Genomic DNA, 19,776 nt, shown 5'->3' with positions numbered 1-19,776 from the left:
AAGAGCTTCTCTGGGATTAGAATGAAAATAAATCACTGGCTGGGTGCACACCTGTAATTCTAGCTATTCAGGCAGGAGGATGGCTCGAGCCTAGGAGTTGGAGGTCAGCATAGGCAACATAGGGAGACCCTGTCTTAAATAAAAACAAAAATAAAACAAAAAAACACTGATGGCAAAAATTATTTCTTCAAAGGAACCAGAATTTGATTGTATTGTTTGTAGACCAATTTGTGCCCCAGGGCATTATTCAAAACAAAAGGGCAATCAGCCAGCAACTAGTGGAGTTTAACGGCTGAGTATGGTCAGTAAATGAGAGGAAGAAAGTCCTAGCAAAAACACTGTGATCCCAAGGTAACTAACTGTAGGCATACCGAAGCTGCCTGTTCCAGAGGAATCACATTAGAGGCTGAACACTGTAAATATGGAGAAATAAACTTCACTAGAAGAATCTAGCTTTTAGCTGGGCATGGTGGCATGCGCCTGTAGTCATAGCTCCTTAGGTTATTGATACGAGATCTTTCTAACTGTGGGCATTTTACAGCTATAAATTTCTCTCTAAGCATGCTTTGGCTGCATATCATGAGTTTTAGTATGCCGTATTTTCATTTTCATTCATTTGAAAGTATTTTCTGAATTCACTTTTGATGTCTTGTTTCATTATTTATTTATTAGTGTGTTGTTTAATTTTCACATATTTGTGAATTTCCCGAATGTTTCCTACTCTTGATTTCCAATTTCATTCCATTATAGTTGGTTGTTTTTCTATCCTCTATTTCATAATTTCTGCTATAATATTTGTTATTTCCTTCTTTCTGCTTGCTTCAGTTTTAGTTTGTTCTTCCTCTTCTAGTGTCTTGAAGCCAAGCAGAAAGAAGGAAATAAAGATTATAGCAGAAATTATGAAATAGAGAATAGAAAAACAATAGAGGATATCAGTGAAACCAAAAGATAGTTCTTTGAAAAAATCGACAACATTGACAGATCTTTAGCTAGATTGACGAGAGAGAGAAGAGAAAAAGAGAAGACTGAAATGACTAGAATCAGAAGTGAAAGAAAGGAACATTACTACAGTCCCTTAAGAAACAAAAATGGGCTGGGCATGGTGACTCACGCCTATAATCCCAGCACTTTGGTATGCTGAGGTGGGAGGATTGCTTTAGCCCAGGAGTTCAGTACCAGCATGGACAACATAGTGAGACCTCATTTCTACTAAACATAAAAAATTAGCCGGATGTGGTAGCATGAGCCTGTGGTCCCAGCTACTTAGGAGGCTGAGGCAGGAGGATCACTTGAGCCCAGGATGTCAAGGCTGCAGTGAGCCATGATTGTGCCAATGCATTTCAGCCTGGGCAACAGAGCAAGACCCTGTCTTAAAAAAAAATAAAAATGATTATAAAGGAATATTATGAACAACTATACATCAACAAATCAGCTGGGCTTGGTGGCTCATGCCTATAATCCTAGCACTTTGGGGGGCTGAGGTGAGTGGATTGCTTGACCTCAGGAGTTCAAGACCAGCCTGGGCAACATGGTGAAACACCATCTCTACAAAAAAAAATAGAAAAATTAGCCATGCATGGTGGTGCACACCTGTAGTCCCAGCTACTCGAGAGGCTGAAGTGGGAGGATCACCTGAGCCTAGGAGGTGGAGGTTGCAGTGAGCTATGATTGCACCACTGCACTCCAGTCTGGGCAACAGAGTGAGACCCTGTCTCAAAAAAAAAAAAAAAGTCAGCTTAGATGAAATGGACAAATTCCTAGAAAGATACCAACTGTTGAAACAACTGACTTAAGAAGAAATAGAGGCCAGGCACGGTGGCTCATGCCTGTAATCCCAGCACTTTGGGAGGCTGAGGTGGGCAGATCACGAGGTCAGGAGATGAGACCATCCTGGCTAACACGGTGAAACCCCGTCTCTACTAAAAATACAAAAAATTAGCTGGGCAAGGTGGTGGGCACCTGTAGTCCCAGCTACTTGGGAGGCTGAGGCAGGAGAATGGCGTGAACCTGGGAGGCGGAACTTGCAGTGAGCCGAGATCGTGCCACTGCACTCCAGCCTGGACAAAAGAGCAAGACTCTGTCTCAAAAAAAAAAAAAATACATACATACATACATACATACATACATACATACATATATATATATATATTTCCCTAGCTAAAGTAAAAAATGGTGTTCTGGTTGCAAATTGATAGTCTTTACTTCATTTGACCTCTTTGTAGCATCTGAATTCTTGACTGTTTCCTTCTAAAGCTCTTAGTTTTGACTTCCACAAATGTTCAACTTCTGATTCTTCTATTGTTCGGACTGTTCCTTCTTAGTATCTTTTGCTGGGCCTCCTTTCTCTGACTGCTAGAACATGTTGACATGTTGTAGCATATTCTCTGACTTTATATATATATATAATATATAAATAATAATTATATATAAAATATATAAATAATTATATATTGTATATAAATAATAATTTGTATATAATATATTATATATAAATAATAATTTATATATAATATATTATATATAAATAATAATTTATATATTATATATATATTTTTTTGAGACGAAGTCTCACTCTGTGGCCATGCTGGAGTGCAGTGGCGCAATCTCGGCTCACTGCAAGCTCCACGTCCCAGGTTCAGACCATTCTGCCTCAGTCTCCCAAGTAGCTGGGACTACAGGCACTCGCCACTATGCCCGGCTAATTTTTTGTATTTTTAGTAGAGATGGGTTTTCACCATGTTAGCCAGGATGGTCTTGATCTCCTGACCTTGTGATCTGCCCGCCTCAGCCTCCCAAAGTGCTGGGATTACAGGCGTGAGCCAACGCTCCTGGCCTGGCTAGGGAAATATTAATAAAATGGCAGAGGTGGAGACAGATGTTAAAGAAGTGGAGGCATTGGGTGCTATTTTGAGAAGCATTGCTCTGAAGGAAAGAAGGGAGAAGACAGTAGTTTGTACAGGAAGCAAGGTTGTTGGGAGAGAGTTCTCCACGGATATCTCACATTTCTTCATGTTTCATGAGTAAGGCACTGACTGCCTTTGTTCTAGACTGTTTTCTCAAGGATGTTTATATAGTGAGCACCCTTGAAAGACAGAGATAGTATCTCCCTCCACAGCTCAAAGATCTGTTTATTGCCCAGTGTGAAAGATTCCCTAAGCTCCAAGCTCAGGGTTCCTCTCCTATAATGGACCCGACTGTGTGTGTAGGCGTCATCTGGTCCCCTTTGCAGTGCCCTGTGAAAATTAGGGCTTGGGGAACTGAAGCAAATATGTTGATGTTCATGCTGCTTGCTGTGCCGTAAGTGACAAAGTCTTTTGTCTCTGACAGAGGGGTTTCCTATCTTCTGCCATCACCCATGTAATTGTGGCAGGTTGAGTTATTAGCTTGCAGAAATGGTGAGATCTCAGACCCTCTTGATACTTGACAGGAAATAAGGAGGGGTTTGTTTTATTTTGATTCGTTTAAATATGAGACTTGATTACAGGTTGAGGTTGAAGATGCAGTAGTGGGGAAGATGAGTTTGAAAATAATTGATATGGAAAACAATCTCTAAAGCAAGATCAATGAGGAACTGAGGGATGAGCATAATTGCAAGAAATTAGCCTTGCACATGAAGAAGGATAGAAGATAAAGGATGCATGTGGGTGTAGGCAATTTTTTAGGTAGAAGAATGTGAAAAAGATGTTTCATGCTTTTCATATAATTTTCTATTGAGAGTAGCAGATTATGTTATCAGATGAATTAAGGGTGAGAGGGTAGAGACCTGGATCAGCATGGAGAAAGTGAAATTAGCTGCAGGGAGGAATGAGAGAGAGGGCAATTAAGAATAGCTAAATAAGTTGATTAAAGGCCTTAGAGATAGGAAACAGTTAACTTGTTATTCCATTATACAGAATTGAGTGATTTTTTTCCCCTACCACCAATGCTCAATTACCTGTGTGTAAATTGAATAAGACAGACAATTGGACTGATCCTGTTTAGAGTTTACAGGACATGTGCAAATGAAGAGGCAACAGGTGACAAGGGTTTTGAGGCCACTAGCAATAATGTAATTAAAGTGTGGGCTTTTGGGCTTAGGCTGAAGTGGGTTGGGAAGGCAAGTGAGACCAGGATGACTGATCTTAAATAAGAATTTTTAAAGCTGGCTGGGCATGGTGGATCATACCTCTAATCCCAGCACTTTGGGAGGCCCAGGCAGGCAGATCACTGGAGCCCAGGAGTTTGAAACCAGCCTGGGCAACATGGAGAAATTCTCTGTTATTTAAAAAAAAAAAAAAAAAAAAAAAAGAATTCATGAAGCTACAGGTCTAGATGAAGTTGAAAAGCAAGTGTGTTAGTGTGTTGGGCATATGAAGGTTGGAGAGATGAAAGTCTAAAACTACACTGCCCAACACGACAGCCACTGTCCACATGTTGCTGTTGTGCTCACGCCTGTAATCCCAGCACTTTGGGAGGCTGAGGCGGGCGGATCACGAGGTCAGGAGATTGAGAACATCCTGGCTAACATGGTGAAACCCTGTCTCTACTAAAAATACAAAAAATGAGCCAGGTGTGGTGGCGGACGCCTGTAGTCCCAGCTACTCAGGAGGCTGAGGCAGGAGAATGTTGTGAACCCGGGAGGCGGAGCTTGCAGTGAGTCGAGATCCAGCCACTGCACTCCAGCCTACGGGACAGAGCGAGACTCCGTCTCAAAAAAAAAAAAGAAAAAAGAAATGTAGCTAGTGCCCCTGAGGAACTGAGTTTTGAATTTAATTTACATTTAAATTTAAAAACTGAGGTATTATGAAAAGTTTTAGGCCAGCTGTGAGAGTTAGCCAACTACAGACTAAGAGAGCATAGTCTCCAAGATCACCCCTCACTCTGCTGTCACCTACAAGTTCAGGAAATTCCCAAAACCGGTTCAGTTTGATAAATAGCTAGAAGGATTCACAAAATTCACTGAAAGCTAATATACTCCCGGTTTGGTTTAATACAGGTAAAGGATACAGATTAAAATCAGCCAGGGAAGGAAGTGCAGAGTCCAGGAGAAGTACGAAATGCAGAACTTTTGTTGTCCTTTCCATGTGGATACAAGATATGTTACACTCCTGGTATTGATGTGTTACATTGTGTACAGAGCAGTACCCATCAGGGAAGCTCAGCCCAGCCTCTGTGTTCAGTGTTTTTATTTTACATAAGCCTGATTGATTGATTGATTGATTGCTCACATGATTGATCTGTGTGTCTCGGTCAACTGATGCTCGTGACCCAAAGCCCACACGTCAAGTCACGCTGTTGTGCAGCCAACAATGTATATCCAGCCTCTACCCTGAGACTATATGGGTGTGGCGAATCCCAGCCTAAATCATGTTATTAGACTCTCTGGCATGACCCAAGGCTCCCAGACAGAGACACTCCGAGCAGACATAACATTCCAAGAACCCAGAGACTGCTTCCCAGAAGCCAAGGGAAGGCCAGGCCTTCTCTTTGGGTAAGGCCAAGTTCTTCACTCTGCAGAGTCTAAAATATTTTTCTATTAAACGCAACTCTTATTTTGATAAAACTACATTACACCTTGGCTATAGACAACTTAGTATTTTAGTTGTGATACGCTTATAAAGTATAAAATACACAGTGGATTTTGAAGACTTACTATGAAAAAAGAAGGTACCCTATCTCATTGCTATTATTTTTATTGATTACATTCTGAAATGATCTTTTGATGTATTTGGTTAAAGTAAGTTACTGATTTTCAAAATGAGTGCTTTTTTTTTTTACTTTTAAATGTGATTACAAGAAAATCTGAAATTATATAAATGGCACACATTGTATTTTATTTGATAGTGCTAATTTAGAAGGTTAAGATAAGAGAGGGGGAAGTTTAGAATTTCAGAGTTAAAATAATGTCAAGCAAAGACAAGTTCAAGATGTGGCCATAGGAATAGTTGCTATACATTGGTAGAGTTCTAGGTCACCGGAGAGAAAGAAGGCTAAAGGAACCATGAAGCAAACTGTCAAATAAGTTATCCTCATTGATGTTCACATTCCCTAGGTGATGGCAGAATTTGAGTGGAGGGCGCAATAGACTACAAACTAGGTTTCGGTGAGTGTCTTTGATGAATGTGAAGGCAAGAGAGGCAGAAAGGGAGTATACCAGCTGCCCAAACATATGGCGTAGTATTGTTAGTGGAGACCTTGAAGAGGTTACATTAATTCCTAATCCCTGGTGGAATATTGTCCCTTTTTACCTCAAGAGGCCTGTAAAGGAATTGCTAGTCTTAGAGGAGTTGGTTGGAAAAGTGATTATCAATGGGAGGTGTTGGCCCCGATGTAAAAGCCCTGCTGCCCTTCTTTGCCCTCTTTGTCCCTCCTTAACTTTTGTGACCCATCTCAAATGTTATTCCCCCTGTGAACTCTGCTCTGATTTTGCCAAATAGCTAATTACCTTTTTTTCTTCACTTTGAACATACCTCTCCTATAGCACTTTTTGAAGTAATTTTTTTTTTCATTTCTAAGTTTGTCTTTTACTGGTAATTTAGACTCTGGTCCATTTCTTTTTCCTTTGACTATTTTCCAAGGGGCTTGATTGAATCCATGAATGTGGTGCCCACAGATAGAGAGGGAAGACTATATATGCTGAATTCAATCACTTATCACCACCTCCATAACTACCAATCTGGTCTAAGCCACCATCATGTCTTGCTAAGATCACTGCAGTAGCCTTTAAATAGTCTCTCTGAATCTGCCCTGACTTCCCCCCCGATTATAGCTAGAAGGATTCTTTTAAAATTCAAGTGGGACCTTACCACTGAGCTACTTCTGTTGGCTTTCCCATCTATTTGGAATAAATTTATAATTCCTACTATAGCCTATAAGATTATATAATTTGGTCTCCTGCTGTCTCTCACCACAGCTCCTAGCACTCTCCTCCTCACATCGGCATCTTTCTTTTTCATTAAACCCTTCGCTGTGCTCCCGCTTTAAGACCATATATTCCATTTCTTCTTCCTGAATTACTCTTTTCCTACATATCCACATGGCTGTCTCTCCTGTTTCTTGCCAGTCTCTTATCAAATGTTATCTCATTAGAGAGGTGTTTGCTCACCATGCTGTCTAAAATCTCATTCTTCCTACTGGCCCATTGCTCTGTAGTCTCTGTCTTGCTTTACTTTTCTTTTTGGTTTTTATCATGAACTGACATATATTTATTTGTTTTTTTACTGTCTTGAGTCAATAAAATTTACGTGCCATTAAAGACTTTGTCATTTTTGTTTCCTACCAAATCTTCAATACTCAAAATAGTGCCTACAGGGAATGCATGTTCCATAAATATTTATTGATAAGTTGAATAAAATACTAAGTGAATGAAAGAACATCACTGGATTGCTGATTATGGCGTTTAAGTTTTATTCATCTGTGTCTTCCTTGTTTAATGTAGTGTCTAACATATAGTAGGCACTCAGTAAATGTATTTCATTGTGTCATAATGAAATATAACTAAGTCAAGCATGGAATTTGCATGTTATTTAATAACATCTTAGTTAAATGAGTTTTTGACATGGGGAAAGCACCTTTTTTGGGTAACTGTATAGAGAAAGACATATTGAAGATTATGAATTCTAAGCAGTGTAATAAATAGACTTCAGTAATTGGTTATTTCATGAATATTTACTACTCATTCAATTGACTTATCCAGTTTATTTTTGCATACTATTCAGCCTTATATTATGAAGGAGCAGTGATGACAGTGTGGGTTTATTTAATGTTACAAACAGAATTGAGAAACTGGTTAGTTTTGTAAACCACTAAATTTATAATTTAAAACTTCCACACTCTGATATCTTTAGATATATATCCCCAAACTTCCTATTTGAGACCATGAAGTCATAAATCCAGCACTTTATCAAGCAAAATTTCCTGAATACCAGGCAGAACTCATGGGCATTTAAAACAAATTACTAATTTAAGAGGAGTCTGTTGAAATGTGTATGATTTATTATGAACATTCTCAGTGTCTTAAAAATAATATTTCTTAATGGTGCCAACATGTATGGAACCCTGAACTTCTCACAAAGCCATTCATTTATGCCATAGGTCACTCAAAAACTATTAGGACAGAGGATCAGAAAGACTAACTTGCATAACCATTGTGTACAAGATACTGTGTTAAGTGTTTCACATAGGTTATTTTATCTTGTGACTGCCTGGAAGTTCAAGAATACAACACATTTGTTTGAACACTACTATGTACTGGTTTGTTGTGGCTTTTTTTTTTTTTTTACATGTTTTTATTTAATCCGCAGCATCCTTTATGTCTTCACAACTAAACTACCATTTTCCCACTAGTTTATTTACTCCTTTGATTATTAAAAAAGGTATTTTCGGCCAGGCGCGGTGGCTCACGCCTGTAATCCCAGCACTTTGGGAGGCTGAGGCGGGCGGATCACGAGGTCAGGAGATTGAGACCATCCTGGCTAACATGGTGAAAGCCCGTCTCTACCGAAAATACAAAAAATTAGCCGAGCATGGTGGTGGGCACCTGTGGTCCCAACTACTTGGGAGGCTGAGGCAGGAAAATGGCCTGAACCCAGGAGGCGGAGCTTGCAGTGAGCCGAGATTGCGCCACTGCACTCCAGCCTGGGGGACAGAGCGAGGCTCCGTCTCAAAAAAATCAAAACAAAACAAACAAACAAACAAACAAAAACTTAGCTATTTTCTAAGGGTCTCCTAACAAGCAAGTAACCATGCTACTGAACTTTAGTCACTCTGAATCAAAATAATTGACTTGTATTTATTTCCCTAATTAATTTCCCATTTATTATTATTCATTTTTTGTTCTGTTTTCTTAATATCAGATATGACTAACATTTATTTTATTTATTTATCCTTTTTTTTTTTTAATGCCCCCACCAGGAGTGTGCAAGTGGAGAGATGCATGGATGAAGGAGGGGAGCTGGCGGGGGTGGGTCTGTGACCAGCATTTATATTGTAACTGGCCAAGATGTATGAGGAAGCCACCTGTGCTTTGACCTCACTTTACACTAAAACATTCATTTATAGTCTGATCATCCAGTCATTTCTACCATGACATAAAAATAAGAGCCCCAGAGAACAAATCAAATTATTTTTGCTGTATTGAGTATATATAAATCCCAAAGGGCCAGGCATGGTGGCTCACTTCTGTAATCCCAGCACTTTGGGAGGCTGAGATGGGCAGATCACTTGAGATCAGGAGTTCAAGACCAGCCTGGCCAACATGTTGAAACCCCGTCTTTACTAAAAAATACAAAAATTAGCTGGGCGTGGTGACACACGCCTATAGTCCCACCTACTCGGGAGGCTGAGGTACAAGAATCACTTGAATATGGGAGGCAGAGGTTGCAGTGAGCCAAGATCGCACCACTGCACTCCAGCCTGGGTGACAGAGTGAGACTCTGTCTCAAAAAAAAAAAAAAAACAAAAAAACCTTAAAGGAATATTTTTGCCTGGCTCCTACATTAACATTTACTTTCTCTGAAAATCATAACCCTGTGTTTGTTATTATCCAGTGTCTACAAACAGCCCAGCTTCTATAGTTAGGTAAAGTAAATTCAATATCAGTTGTTCTTTCATAATCAAAACAGAAGTCTACAATGCCATTCTTACATACAACAGCATTGACAGTAATTCCTTACTATCATGTAATAGCCAGGGCATGTTTAGCTTTCTGCAGATGTTTCAAAACATCTTCTTATAGTTTGTACAAATTACGATGCAAGAAATCCATACATCCATTGAGTTGAAAAATGTCTAAATTTTTTATAATCTAAATTTTTAAATAATCTGTGACAACCTCATCTCTTCCCTACAAACATTTACTTTTTTTCTATGCTATCTATTTATGTAAGAAACTGGATTGTCTTAAAAAATGTCCTACATTTGGAATTTGGCTGATCATATATTTATTGTGTCATTCAACATGTTCCTGTAGTTCAGTGTTTCTTGGAAAGTGGAAGTTATATTTAGGAATTTGCTTAGTTCAGTTTTTGGAGGGGAAGCAGGAGTGCTCCATAGTTTTTTATTGCATCACTTCAAGAGTTGTATAATATCTGATTTTCCCACTTTTAGTGATACTTAGAATAATCTTCAGGTATAGTTATTGTTCACCAAATTGATCCTTTATAAAGTTTCCCATCAGTCTTTTACGTAATGTTTTATCTACTCCTGTCATTTAGTTGCCTAGCTATTTCATTAGAAGTTGCAAGGCCGGGCTTGGTGGCTCACACCTGTAATCCCAGCACTTTGGGAGGCCGAGGCAGGTGGATCACGAGGTCAGGATTTTCAGACCAGCCTGACCAACATGGTGAAACCTTGTCTTTATTGAAAATACAAAAATTAACCAGCCATGGTGATGCACACCTGTAGTCCCAGCTACTTGGGAGGCTGAGGCAGGAGAATTGCTTGAACCCAGGAGGCGGAGGTTGCAGTGAGCTGAGTCCGCGCCATTGCACTACAGCCTGGGTGACAGAGTGAGACTTGTCTTAAAAACAAAACAAAACAAAAAAGAAGTTGCAAAATGGTGATTATTTGAATTCTCTCATTCATTCAACATTTATGAGTTATTCTTCTTCTGTAAAGAACTTTGCCTTATAAACTACTTAGAAATTATAGTAATGACAAGATAAATGCTTGATTCTTTCTTTTCCTTATGTATCAGTTTTTAGAATAATGAATTGGTTCTCTGCAATCTCCAGTGGAGACTAAGGAAGTTGGTTTTCTATTTTGTAACATAATTATGCAATTATGGATTTTAGTATATTTTATGTGCTTCAGTCCATTAAGTCATTCTTCTTTTGAAACTGAAATTATTCCACTTAGCCAGTGGGAGCCTGGAGCCTCTTCAGGCTGACTCCTGTGTCCTTTTGATGTGAGCTCAATAGTCTTTGATATTTTTGTTGCTTTTAGGCAAGATGTCCTATGCTTATCTTGAACATTTCCTGTACCAGACATGGAATCAAACATTTCTCCTAGGAATTCTGGTTTGGTCTCCTCTCCTCTCCTCTCCTCTCCTCTCCTCTCCTCTCCTCCCCTCCCCTCTCCTCTCCTCTCCTCCCCTCTCCTCTCCTCCCCTCCCCTCCCCTCCCCTCCCCTCCCCTCCCCTCCCCTCCCCTTCCGTCCCGTCCCCTTCTTTTCATTTTCCTTTTCTTTTTCTCTCCTTCTCTTCTCCTCTCCTCTCCTCTCCTCTCCTCCCCTCCCCTCCCCTCCCGTCCCGTCCCCTTCTTTTCATTTTCCTTTTCTTTTTCTCTCCTTCTCCTCTCCTCTCCTCTCCTCCCCTCCCCTCCCCTCCCCTCCCCTCCCCTCCCGTCCCCTTCTTTTCCTTTTCCTTTTCTTTTTCTCTCCTTCTCTTCTCCTCTCCTCTCCTCTCCTCTCCTCTCCTCTCCTCTCCTCTCTTCTCCCCTCTTCTCCCTTCCCCTCCCCTCCCCTCCCCTCCCCTCCCCTCCCCTCTAGATAGAGTCTCACTCTGTTGCCCAGGCGGGAGTGCAGTGGTGTGAACTCAGCTCACTGCAGCCTCCGCCTCCCAGGTTCAAGTGATTCTCCTGCCTCAGCCTCCCGAGTAGCTGGGACTACAGGCACACGCCACCATGCCCAGCTAATTTTTGTATTTTTAGTTGAGACGGGGTTTCACCATGTTGGCCAAGCTGGTCTTGAACTCCTGGCCTCAAGTGATCCACTTGTCTCAGCCTCCCAGAGCACTGGGATTACAGGCGTGAGCCACCGTGCCCAGCCAACTCTGGTTTCTTTAAATGGAAAATAGCATTTAAAGACCAGAATTTGGGCCTCAGGGATGCTCGTTAGTGCTACTGGGTTATTATTGCTTAGAGGAGGGGACAGAGCTATGAAATATATATTTTTAATGGAGAGGAAAATGAAACAAGTTTATACTAACACTCCAATTAAAATGTAAGATTTCAGCATTTTTACTTCTTAAATATTATATCTTTAGTTCTCTTTTCCCTTATGTTGAAAATTGTGGTTCCAGATGACGTTAACATAGTCACTTTTTTGATATGAGTGAGGGGAGAGACTGATTGATTGAAAACAATACCAGTAGTATTACAAATAATAAGGAGACTTGTGGTTCTTTTTGTTCTTAGGATATATCCCATGAAGAATTGTCTTAGTCTATTTGGGCTGCTCTAGCAGAATACTTTTAACTTTATGTATAGTTAGGTATTATGTACCGTAATCTACTGATTTTTTACAGGTTGCTTTCAATTTTTAGAAATGTTCTTCTATTTGATTCAATTCTGAATTGTTTCAGTTATGTAAGACATTACTTGTTTCCAAAGTTAAAGCTACAAAACAAGGTGCATTCATATGTCTGGCTTCCACACCTTTTCCGTAAGTAACCATTTATTTAACATTATTCCTTTTGGCAAATCTAAATAAATATATGCATATACATACACATGCATATTTGTATTTTCCCTTCCTTCCTACACAAACAGAAACACACTCTACATATTTTTCTACGTCTTGCAGTGCTTCATGGATATAAACCCATCCATGGACCAAAAATCCATGGGCTAGGAGGGAAGACACACAAGATAAGAAATTACTGTAATATAATTGTTTGCTGATGTCATAGAGGCAGATAGATTAAATGTCATTAGACACAAATTATGGAGCAGTTTTTCTAGGGCGGGTGAGTAGGTTAGGGTTAGCTTCAGAGAAATGACCTTTAAGCTGGACTTTAAAGGATAACCTTGAATTCCAAAGTTCAGCTGGGGATGGGGATGAGAATAGGAGACAGGCATTCCAGCAAGAAGTAAAACCCTGAGCAAAGTGTACAGCATGTTGGTGAAACAGCAAGTACACATGCAGGTGAACTATGTTTATGAATTAGAACTATATATTGTAGGCTGTGAGATTTTGTTGAAAAGTTCTAAGTTAAATGAATGACACGACCAAAGAAATGTGTTAGAATAACTGGTAACAATGTAAAGGATGATGGGCAGAAAGGGAAACCTGAAGGATAGAGAAGAGGAGGCATACTCTTTAAATGTAAGTCGAAAATTTAGCGTATTTTGTAAGTAATTGGATGTTAAGAGTGAGGAAGAAAGAGGAGTTGAAGATGATTCCAAAGTTTCTTTCATGGACATCTAGATGATGGTAATAGGGATTCAGGAGGAGAACTAGGTTACAGCAGGAAGATAAAGAGAACGTTAGTTCAGGCCAGGTGCTGTGGCTCACGCCTGTAATCCCAGAACTTTGGGAGGCTGAGGTAGGTGCATTACTTGAGGTAAAGAGTTTGAGACCAGCCTGACCAACATGGTGAAACTCCGTCTCTATTAAAAATACAAAAATTAGCTGGGCATGGTGGCACCTGTTGTCCCAGTGACTTGGGAGGCTGAGATAGGAGAATCACTTGAACCTGGGAGGCAGAGGTTGTGATGAGCCGAGATCACACCACCCCGCTTCAGCCTGGATGACAAAGTGAGTCTCTGTCTCAAAAATGCAAACAAACAAAGAGAACGCTAGTTCAGTTTGGTCCATGTTAAATTTAGATATCTTTCAAATTTTTTTAAATTATAAAAATAAAGATGGGATCTCACTATGTTGCCCAGGCTGATCTTGAACTCCTGGACTCAAGTGATCCTCCCTTCTTGGCCTCCCAGTGTGCTGGGATCACAGGTGTGAGCCACCACACCTGGCCTAAATTTAGATATATTTATGATACCTAGATGAAGTTTTTCAGTAGACATTTGAAAACAGGAGTTTGGAGCTCAGGAGGTTAGATGACTAGAAACAGTGAATTTGGAAGCCATTAGCCTTATGTATTGGCATTAGTTACCATCTCATGCTACATAAAATTCCCTGGAGACATGTACTTGAGCTGTTCCCTTTGGAAGACTAGTTAGAGCTAGGATTGCAACATTTTGATAGTCAATATTTTAACAAATCGAAAGGTACCTCTGTTGACTTGGAGCATGCAGGTTATACTAGGATCTGATTAGAACCTCTGTTACAGGATTAGCAAACCAAGTATTGCTAATACCTTGGTGTAGCATGAGAAACATTGGTACTATATGAGAAAACTTGAATAACATTTTTGAAAGGCCTTTTGTAATATATGAGATTCTATTTCAAAGCCTACCTGGGTTTATGCTTAGTCTAGAAATACTTTTTAAGAAGCCATAAGAAAACAAATCCTTCCTTATACATTACTGTGAATGGACTTGATATGAAAAGGATGGCATGTTTTTTATGAAGACAACTTAAAAAGTGTGTAGTTTACAAACCTTGTTTAATAGCAAAATGAAGAGTAAAAAAAGTGTTTTTGTAAAAGCTTATAGTCTCTTCTCTCATTGGTATTCCTTGAGTTAATTTATAATAATAAATTAATAAGTATTAATAATCAATATAATTAATAATAATTTATCATTATTAATAATAGTTTAAAGATAGGGTCTTGCCCTGTTGCCCAGGCTGGAGTGCAGTGGCATGCTCATAGCTCACTGCAGCCTCGAACTCCTGGGTTCAAGTGATCCTCCTGCCTCAGCCTCTCAACAGATTACCAGGTGCATACCACCATGCCTGGCTGATTTTGTTTGTTTGTTTTCTGAGACTGGGTCTCACTCTGTCGCCCAGGCTGGAGTGCAGTGGCACGATCTCGGCTTACTGCAAACTCTGCTTTCCAGGTTCAAGCGATTCTCCTGCCTCAGCCTCCCGAATAGCTGGGACTATAGGCATGCGCCACCACACCCGGCTAATTTTTTTTTTGTATTTTGAGTAGAAATGAGGTTTCACCATGTTGGCCAGGCTGGTCTTGAACTCCTGACCTCAGGTAATCCACCTACCTCTGCCTCCCAAAGTGCTGGGATTATAGAGGTGAGCCACCGCGCCCGGCCTATGCCTGGCTGATTTTTAAATTTTTTGTAGCAATGGGGTCTTGCTTTGCTGTTCAGGCTGGTCTTTAAGTGCGGGGATTATAGGTGTGAACCACCATGCCTGGCCTAATCTATAATTATTAAGTATCCATCATAGGCAGAGTACTATTTTATGTGTAATAAGGAGGCATAGAAAAAAATAGTTCTAGTTCCACATTTTCAAAACTAAAGCATATCCTGTGATAATGTGTTTCACGAAGAAATTGTGTTGTCTCAAAACTCTCAGGGAAAAAGTTTAGTTTATTTGGAAGAGACAGAAGAAAATTTAGTATACTTTTTGCTTGTATGCCAAGTACAGACTTGGATATATGAAGACAGGTCATATATGTTAGTGTGCCTTTTTAGATTAGTTGGGAAGACTCTTGAATTCATTGAGGTGAGCAATAGCATTTAGCATTCATTTTGCTAATAAAATCTAAGGTTCAGGAAATAGTTTTAATAAACAGGGATAGGAATGTATTCAATCATCTTTTGTTCTTTTAATAAATACTTATTAAGTGCTTAATATGCGTCAGATACCGTTCATTGTACTAGACACAGTATTGAACAAAATGGCAAGAATGCCTGCCCTCATGGAGCTTGTTTTCTAGTGGAGAAGACAGATAGTACACCAACTAAGTAGGGTAGAATGTGTCATTTGTTAGAAAATGATAAAGTGCGTAGGGGAAGTGAATATGAAATTGAAATATCAGGAGGTAAGCTGACAATAGAGATAGGAAAGACCTCTCTGAGAAGGTTATACTTTTGTAAAAGATCATGCAGCTATTTGGGGAGGAGCATTCCAAGTAGAAAGAATAGAAAGAACAAAGGCCCTGTGGCAGGAGTATTTCTGCTGTGTTTGAGAAATAGCAAGGTGGCATATGTGATTATAGTAGAACAAAAGAGCCAGTGAAAGAAGGTAAGGTCAAAGGTCATGAGCTGGGAACCCATCCGGAGGTTTTGACAGAAAAAAATGATGTGATCTTATTTAAGATTTAAGAGAATTACCCTGCTACATAGAAATGCAGACTTAATTGTTTGAGTGTAGGAGTTTGAGGCTACAATGAGCCATGATTGGGCCACTGCACTCCAACATGGGCAACACAGCAAGACCTTGTCTCTTGAGAGAGAGAGAGAGAGAGAGGAAGGAAGAAAAGAGAAAATGCAAACTTATATTCATATAAAATTCTATACACAATTGTTTAATTGTTGATAGCAGCTTTCTTTGTAATAGCTAAGAACTGGAAACAACCAAAATGTCCTTCAGTAGGTGAATGGATAAGGAAACTCTTGTACATCTATTCCATGCTGTACTACTCAGCAGTAAAAAGGAGCAAATGGGGCCAGGTGCAGTGGCTCACGCCTGTAATCCCAGCACTTTGGGGGGCTGAGGCGGGTGGAGCACGAGGTCAGGAGTTTGAGACCAGCCTGGCCAATATGGTGAAACCCTGTCTCTACTAAAAATGCAAAAATTAGCCGGGTGTGGTGGCGCACGCCTGTAGTCCCAGCTACTTGGGAGGCTGAGGCAGGAGAATCACTTGAACCCAGGAGGTGGAGGTTGCAGTGAGCCAAGATTGCACCACTGCACTCCATCCTGGGTGACAGTGAGACTCTGCCTCAAAAAAGAAAAAAAAAAAAAAAAGGAGCAAGGTTAATAGACACATCAACTTGGATGGATCTTAAGGACATTATGGTGACTAAAAATATCAGGCCAGTCATGGTGGTTTATGCCTGTAATCCCAACACTTTGGAAGGCCTAGGCAGGAATATCACTTGAGCCCATGAGTTTGAGACCAGCTTGGTCAACTTGGTGAAACCCTACCTCTAAATAATTAGCTAGGCATGGTGGCAGATGCTTGTAGTCCTAGCTGCTTGGGAGGCTGAGGTGGGAGGAGGTCAAGGCTGCAGTGAGCCGTGATCTTGCCACTGCAGTCCAGCTTGAATGACTCTTTCTCAAAAAACAAACAAACAAAAACAAGAAAATAAAAAAGCCAATCTCAAAAGGTCGCCGACTGTATGATTCTGTTTATATAGTGTTCTTAAAATGATGAAATTACATAAATGGGAAACAGATTAGTGGTTTCTAGGAGTTAGGGATGGTGGGGCATAGAGGAACAAGCATGACTGTGTAGGGGTAGTGCAACGGAGATCTTTGTGGTGGTGAAATATTTTTGTATCTTTTTTTGATACAAAAAATTGAACAGGGGAAAGGCAAGATCCGTTTACACATGCAGGCATATATGTGAGAGTACTCAGTAATGACTGAGTCCGAATAGTTGTAATTGCTATTGTAGTAATTGCAGTTGTTGTTCCACAAATCTACACATGTGATAAAGTGACATAGAACTATACATACGCATTGTACCCATGTCAAATTCTGGGTTTTGATATCGTTCTATAATTATATAAGATTTAACCATTGGCGGAAACTGGGCGAAGGGTACACGGGACCTCTCTGCACTGTCTTTGCAACTTCCTGTGAATCTATAATTATCTCAAAATAAAAAGTTTTTAAAAAAAGATTACTACCTTGGCTGCTCTTTTGAGGAGTAATCCTAGGAGGTTATTGCAGAAATCTAGGAGTGAGGTAGTTGCTGTTAAATGAGGCTGGTGGCACTAGAGTGGAGTGAAGGCAGGGGTGAGAAATAGTTGGATTCTGAATATGATTTGAACGTAGAGTTAATAGAATTTGCTGATGGATAGGATGCAGGGTGTGAGAGAAAGAGAAGAATGAAAGATGCCATAAAAGTTTTTGGCCTGGTCAATGGAGGAGCAAAGAAAAGAGATAGTAACAAGAAGCAGCAACAAGTCAAGAAGCCCGGTAAGAGGTAGTTGGATTCTTGGCAAGAAAGACAAAATGACAAACCCTCTTCCTCTAGTCAGTGGCAGCCACGCCTGGGAGTTAGAGGACAATAGGATATTAAAGTGACTGCACTCTTATTAACCTGCTTAGGGGGAGCTGAGTTATCTTGGCCTCGCCCTGCTTTTTTGGAAAGAAGCGTTTGTTTGATAAACAGGAAGTCGTTTCCATGGGTGTAGGAAGAAGAAATGATAGAACTGAGTGGCAAAGCAAAGAACTACTAGCTGTGGTTAGTTTGGAATTGGCAGAAGTTTTTTCAGGTAGTCACCTAAGATGAAGATGAGCACACATACTGCCTTTTCCCTTTTCTAGGCTGGGTTCATTCTTCACTGAAATGTGGTATTTCTGCCTATTGCTTGTCCTGCTGTCAGGGTATGTTCATTTTCAGCTAGTGTTTTGCATCAACTATGAGTTGTAGACTTAGCAGACAAATGGAGACACTGTCTGTTTAGAGTGGAAAAGTGACTTATTTTAAGAAATGTTGGCTCCGCACCACTATCCCATTAGTGGCATACCTCTGACACTCCATTGAAGCTGGCCTAGGGAAGGTAAGACTGGCTTCTGTGTATTTTTGCTCTTTGAAAGGTCAGAACCTAAATGTACCACAAGATATTTTCTTCCTGAGTAAGATTGGGACAAAATTACAAACAGTGAATTCTGAAGCAAACTTACGTGCTGGTGCTCTAATACTTTAGAAAATTCAAAATCGATTTCCTGTACTTCTAACAATATTACTCTTCGTCGGGTATGTAAATCTCTTAGTGTCACTTACTTCTTTTCATTTTGCAAGGAAGGGCAGACCAAAAAGATTAAAGAAGACCAATGCCAAGTCATGGTCATGGGAAAGTGAGAAAGAGAATTTAAAAGTACTTTTTACTTTTTTTTACTTTGTTTTACTTTTTACTTTTGAAAAGCACTTGAAACAGGAGAACCATTTTTTTTCCTTTTAACCGAGAGTCACCTCATCCCTGTCTGGGTACATGTTTGGAGTGAAATTGTGGTCAAAGAAAACTTTAAATTTGTCCCAGACCTATAATGGCAACTAAATAGATAAGTAGTTGATTGATGGTGAAAAAAGCTTAGTGTGATGGACTTGACTTTATGCAGCAGGTGTCTACTTGAGGTTTGTTTAGATTGGTGGGGGTGGGGAGGGGGCAGGACTCTAGCTAGGGGCATGGCTGCAGTGTGGATGATTGGGATGAGGATATGGGTAGTATTTGTGTCTCAGTATTTAGGAGAGGTAGTTCACTGAATTGCCTGGAAGAAGCAGAACAACTCTGGAGTTCCTTGCAATTGGAGTTTATCCTGACAAGGTTCAACGTACATTTTACTTTGCGTATTGAGTGGATTCAGGAGCCATTTGGTTTCATTTGCCTTCTGAAAGTACTGCAGTATTTGTAAAAATGCTGTGACTATGTGTTAAGTCCAGGCTGGTCTACAGCTCTGGATTTCTTCACTGAAAGTTAAATATCACATTTGAACTTGAAGAATGTTTGCTGCCTGCCTCTAGAGCATATACGAATATAAAGCAGCTATTTGTCAGCAGGCAGCTGAAAGGCGATTTTCAGCAGGGAGTGAAAACCACTGCAGGCTGCTGGCTTCCTGGCACACCCACTAGACCTCGTAGGTTTACAGTGAAAGCAAACCAATGGGAGTAGGGGTTGGGGGGATAAGATGGGCAAAAATCAGGGCAGAGGCTGAGGTCTGAATGCGATTGAGCCACTGGAAGGAGCTTGCATGTGAAGAGCACAGTGCTCCCAAAGAGAAGAAAACTTGAACCCTAAACACAATGGCTAGGAGCAAATATCTAATGTGAACACTTTAAAAAAAAAAAGTGATTTGTTCCGTAAGTGTATTTAGAGTCCAGGGGAAAAAAAAAAGTGATTTGTTTATCTTCTTTGTATCTATAACTATAGGGGTACTGAAGGTAACTTTGGGGAAAGTATTATAGTTTAAGCTGTACTACCCAGTGCGCTGTTACAGCTACCTTTTAACCAGAACCATTAACAGTGACAATCGATGTGTAGA

At 40.1% G+C, this 19,776-nt stretch overlaps 1 protein-coding gene across 20 annotated transcripts in view, besides 1 other annotated feature; it reads left to right on the top strand.

The window, feature by feature from the left end:
* SIK3 (SIK family kinase 3) overlaps positions 1 to 19,776 on the top strand; it is a 255,027-nt gene that overhangs the window by 148,761 nt on the left and 86,490 nt on the right. The gene's annotated exons all lie outside the window — the stretch shown is intronic.
* Positions 1,120 to 1,179: a silencer, noted in NCBI's record as "silent region_3927". NCBI's record gives its function as "represses an Ori minimal core promoter by ATAC-STARR-seq in GM12878 lymphoblastoid cells {active_cell/tissue: GM12878}" and the evidence as "EXISTENCE:reporter gene assay evidence [ECO:0000049][PMID:35858748]".

This window comes from Homo sapiens, chromosome 11 (assembly GCF_000001405.40).
Source record: "Homo sapiens chromosome 11, GRCh38.p14 Primary Assembly".
Taxonomy (NCBI): Eukaryota; Metazoa; Chordata; class Mammalia; order Primates; family Hominidae; genus Homo; species Homo sapiens.
The sequence above is the reverse complement of the archived record's forward strand: the minus strand, read 5'-3'. Positions and strand labels throughout refer to the sequence as shown.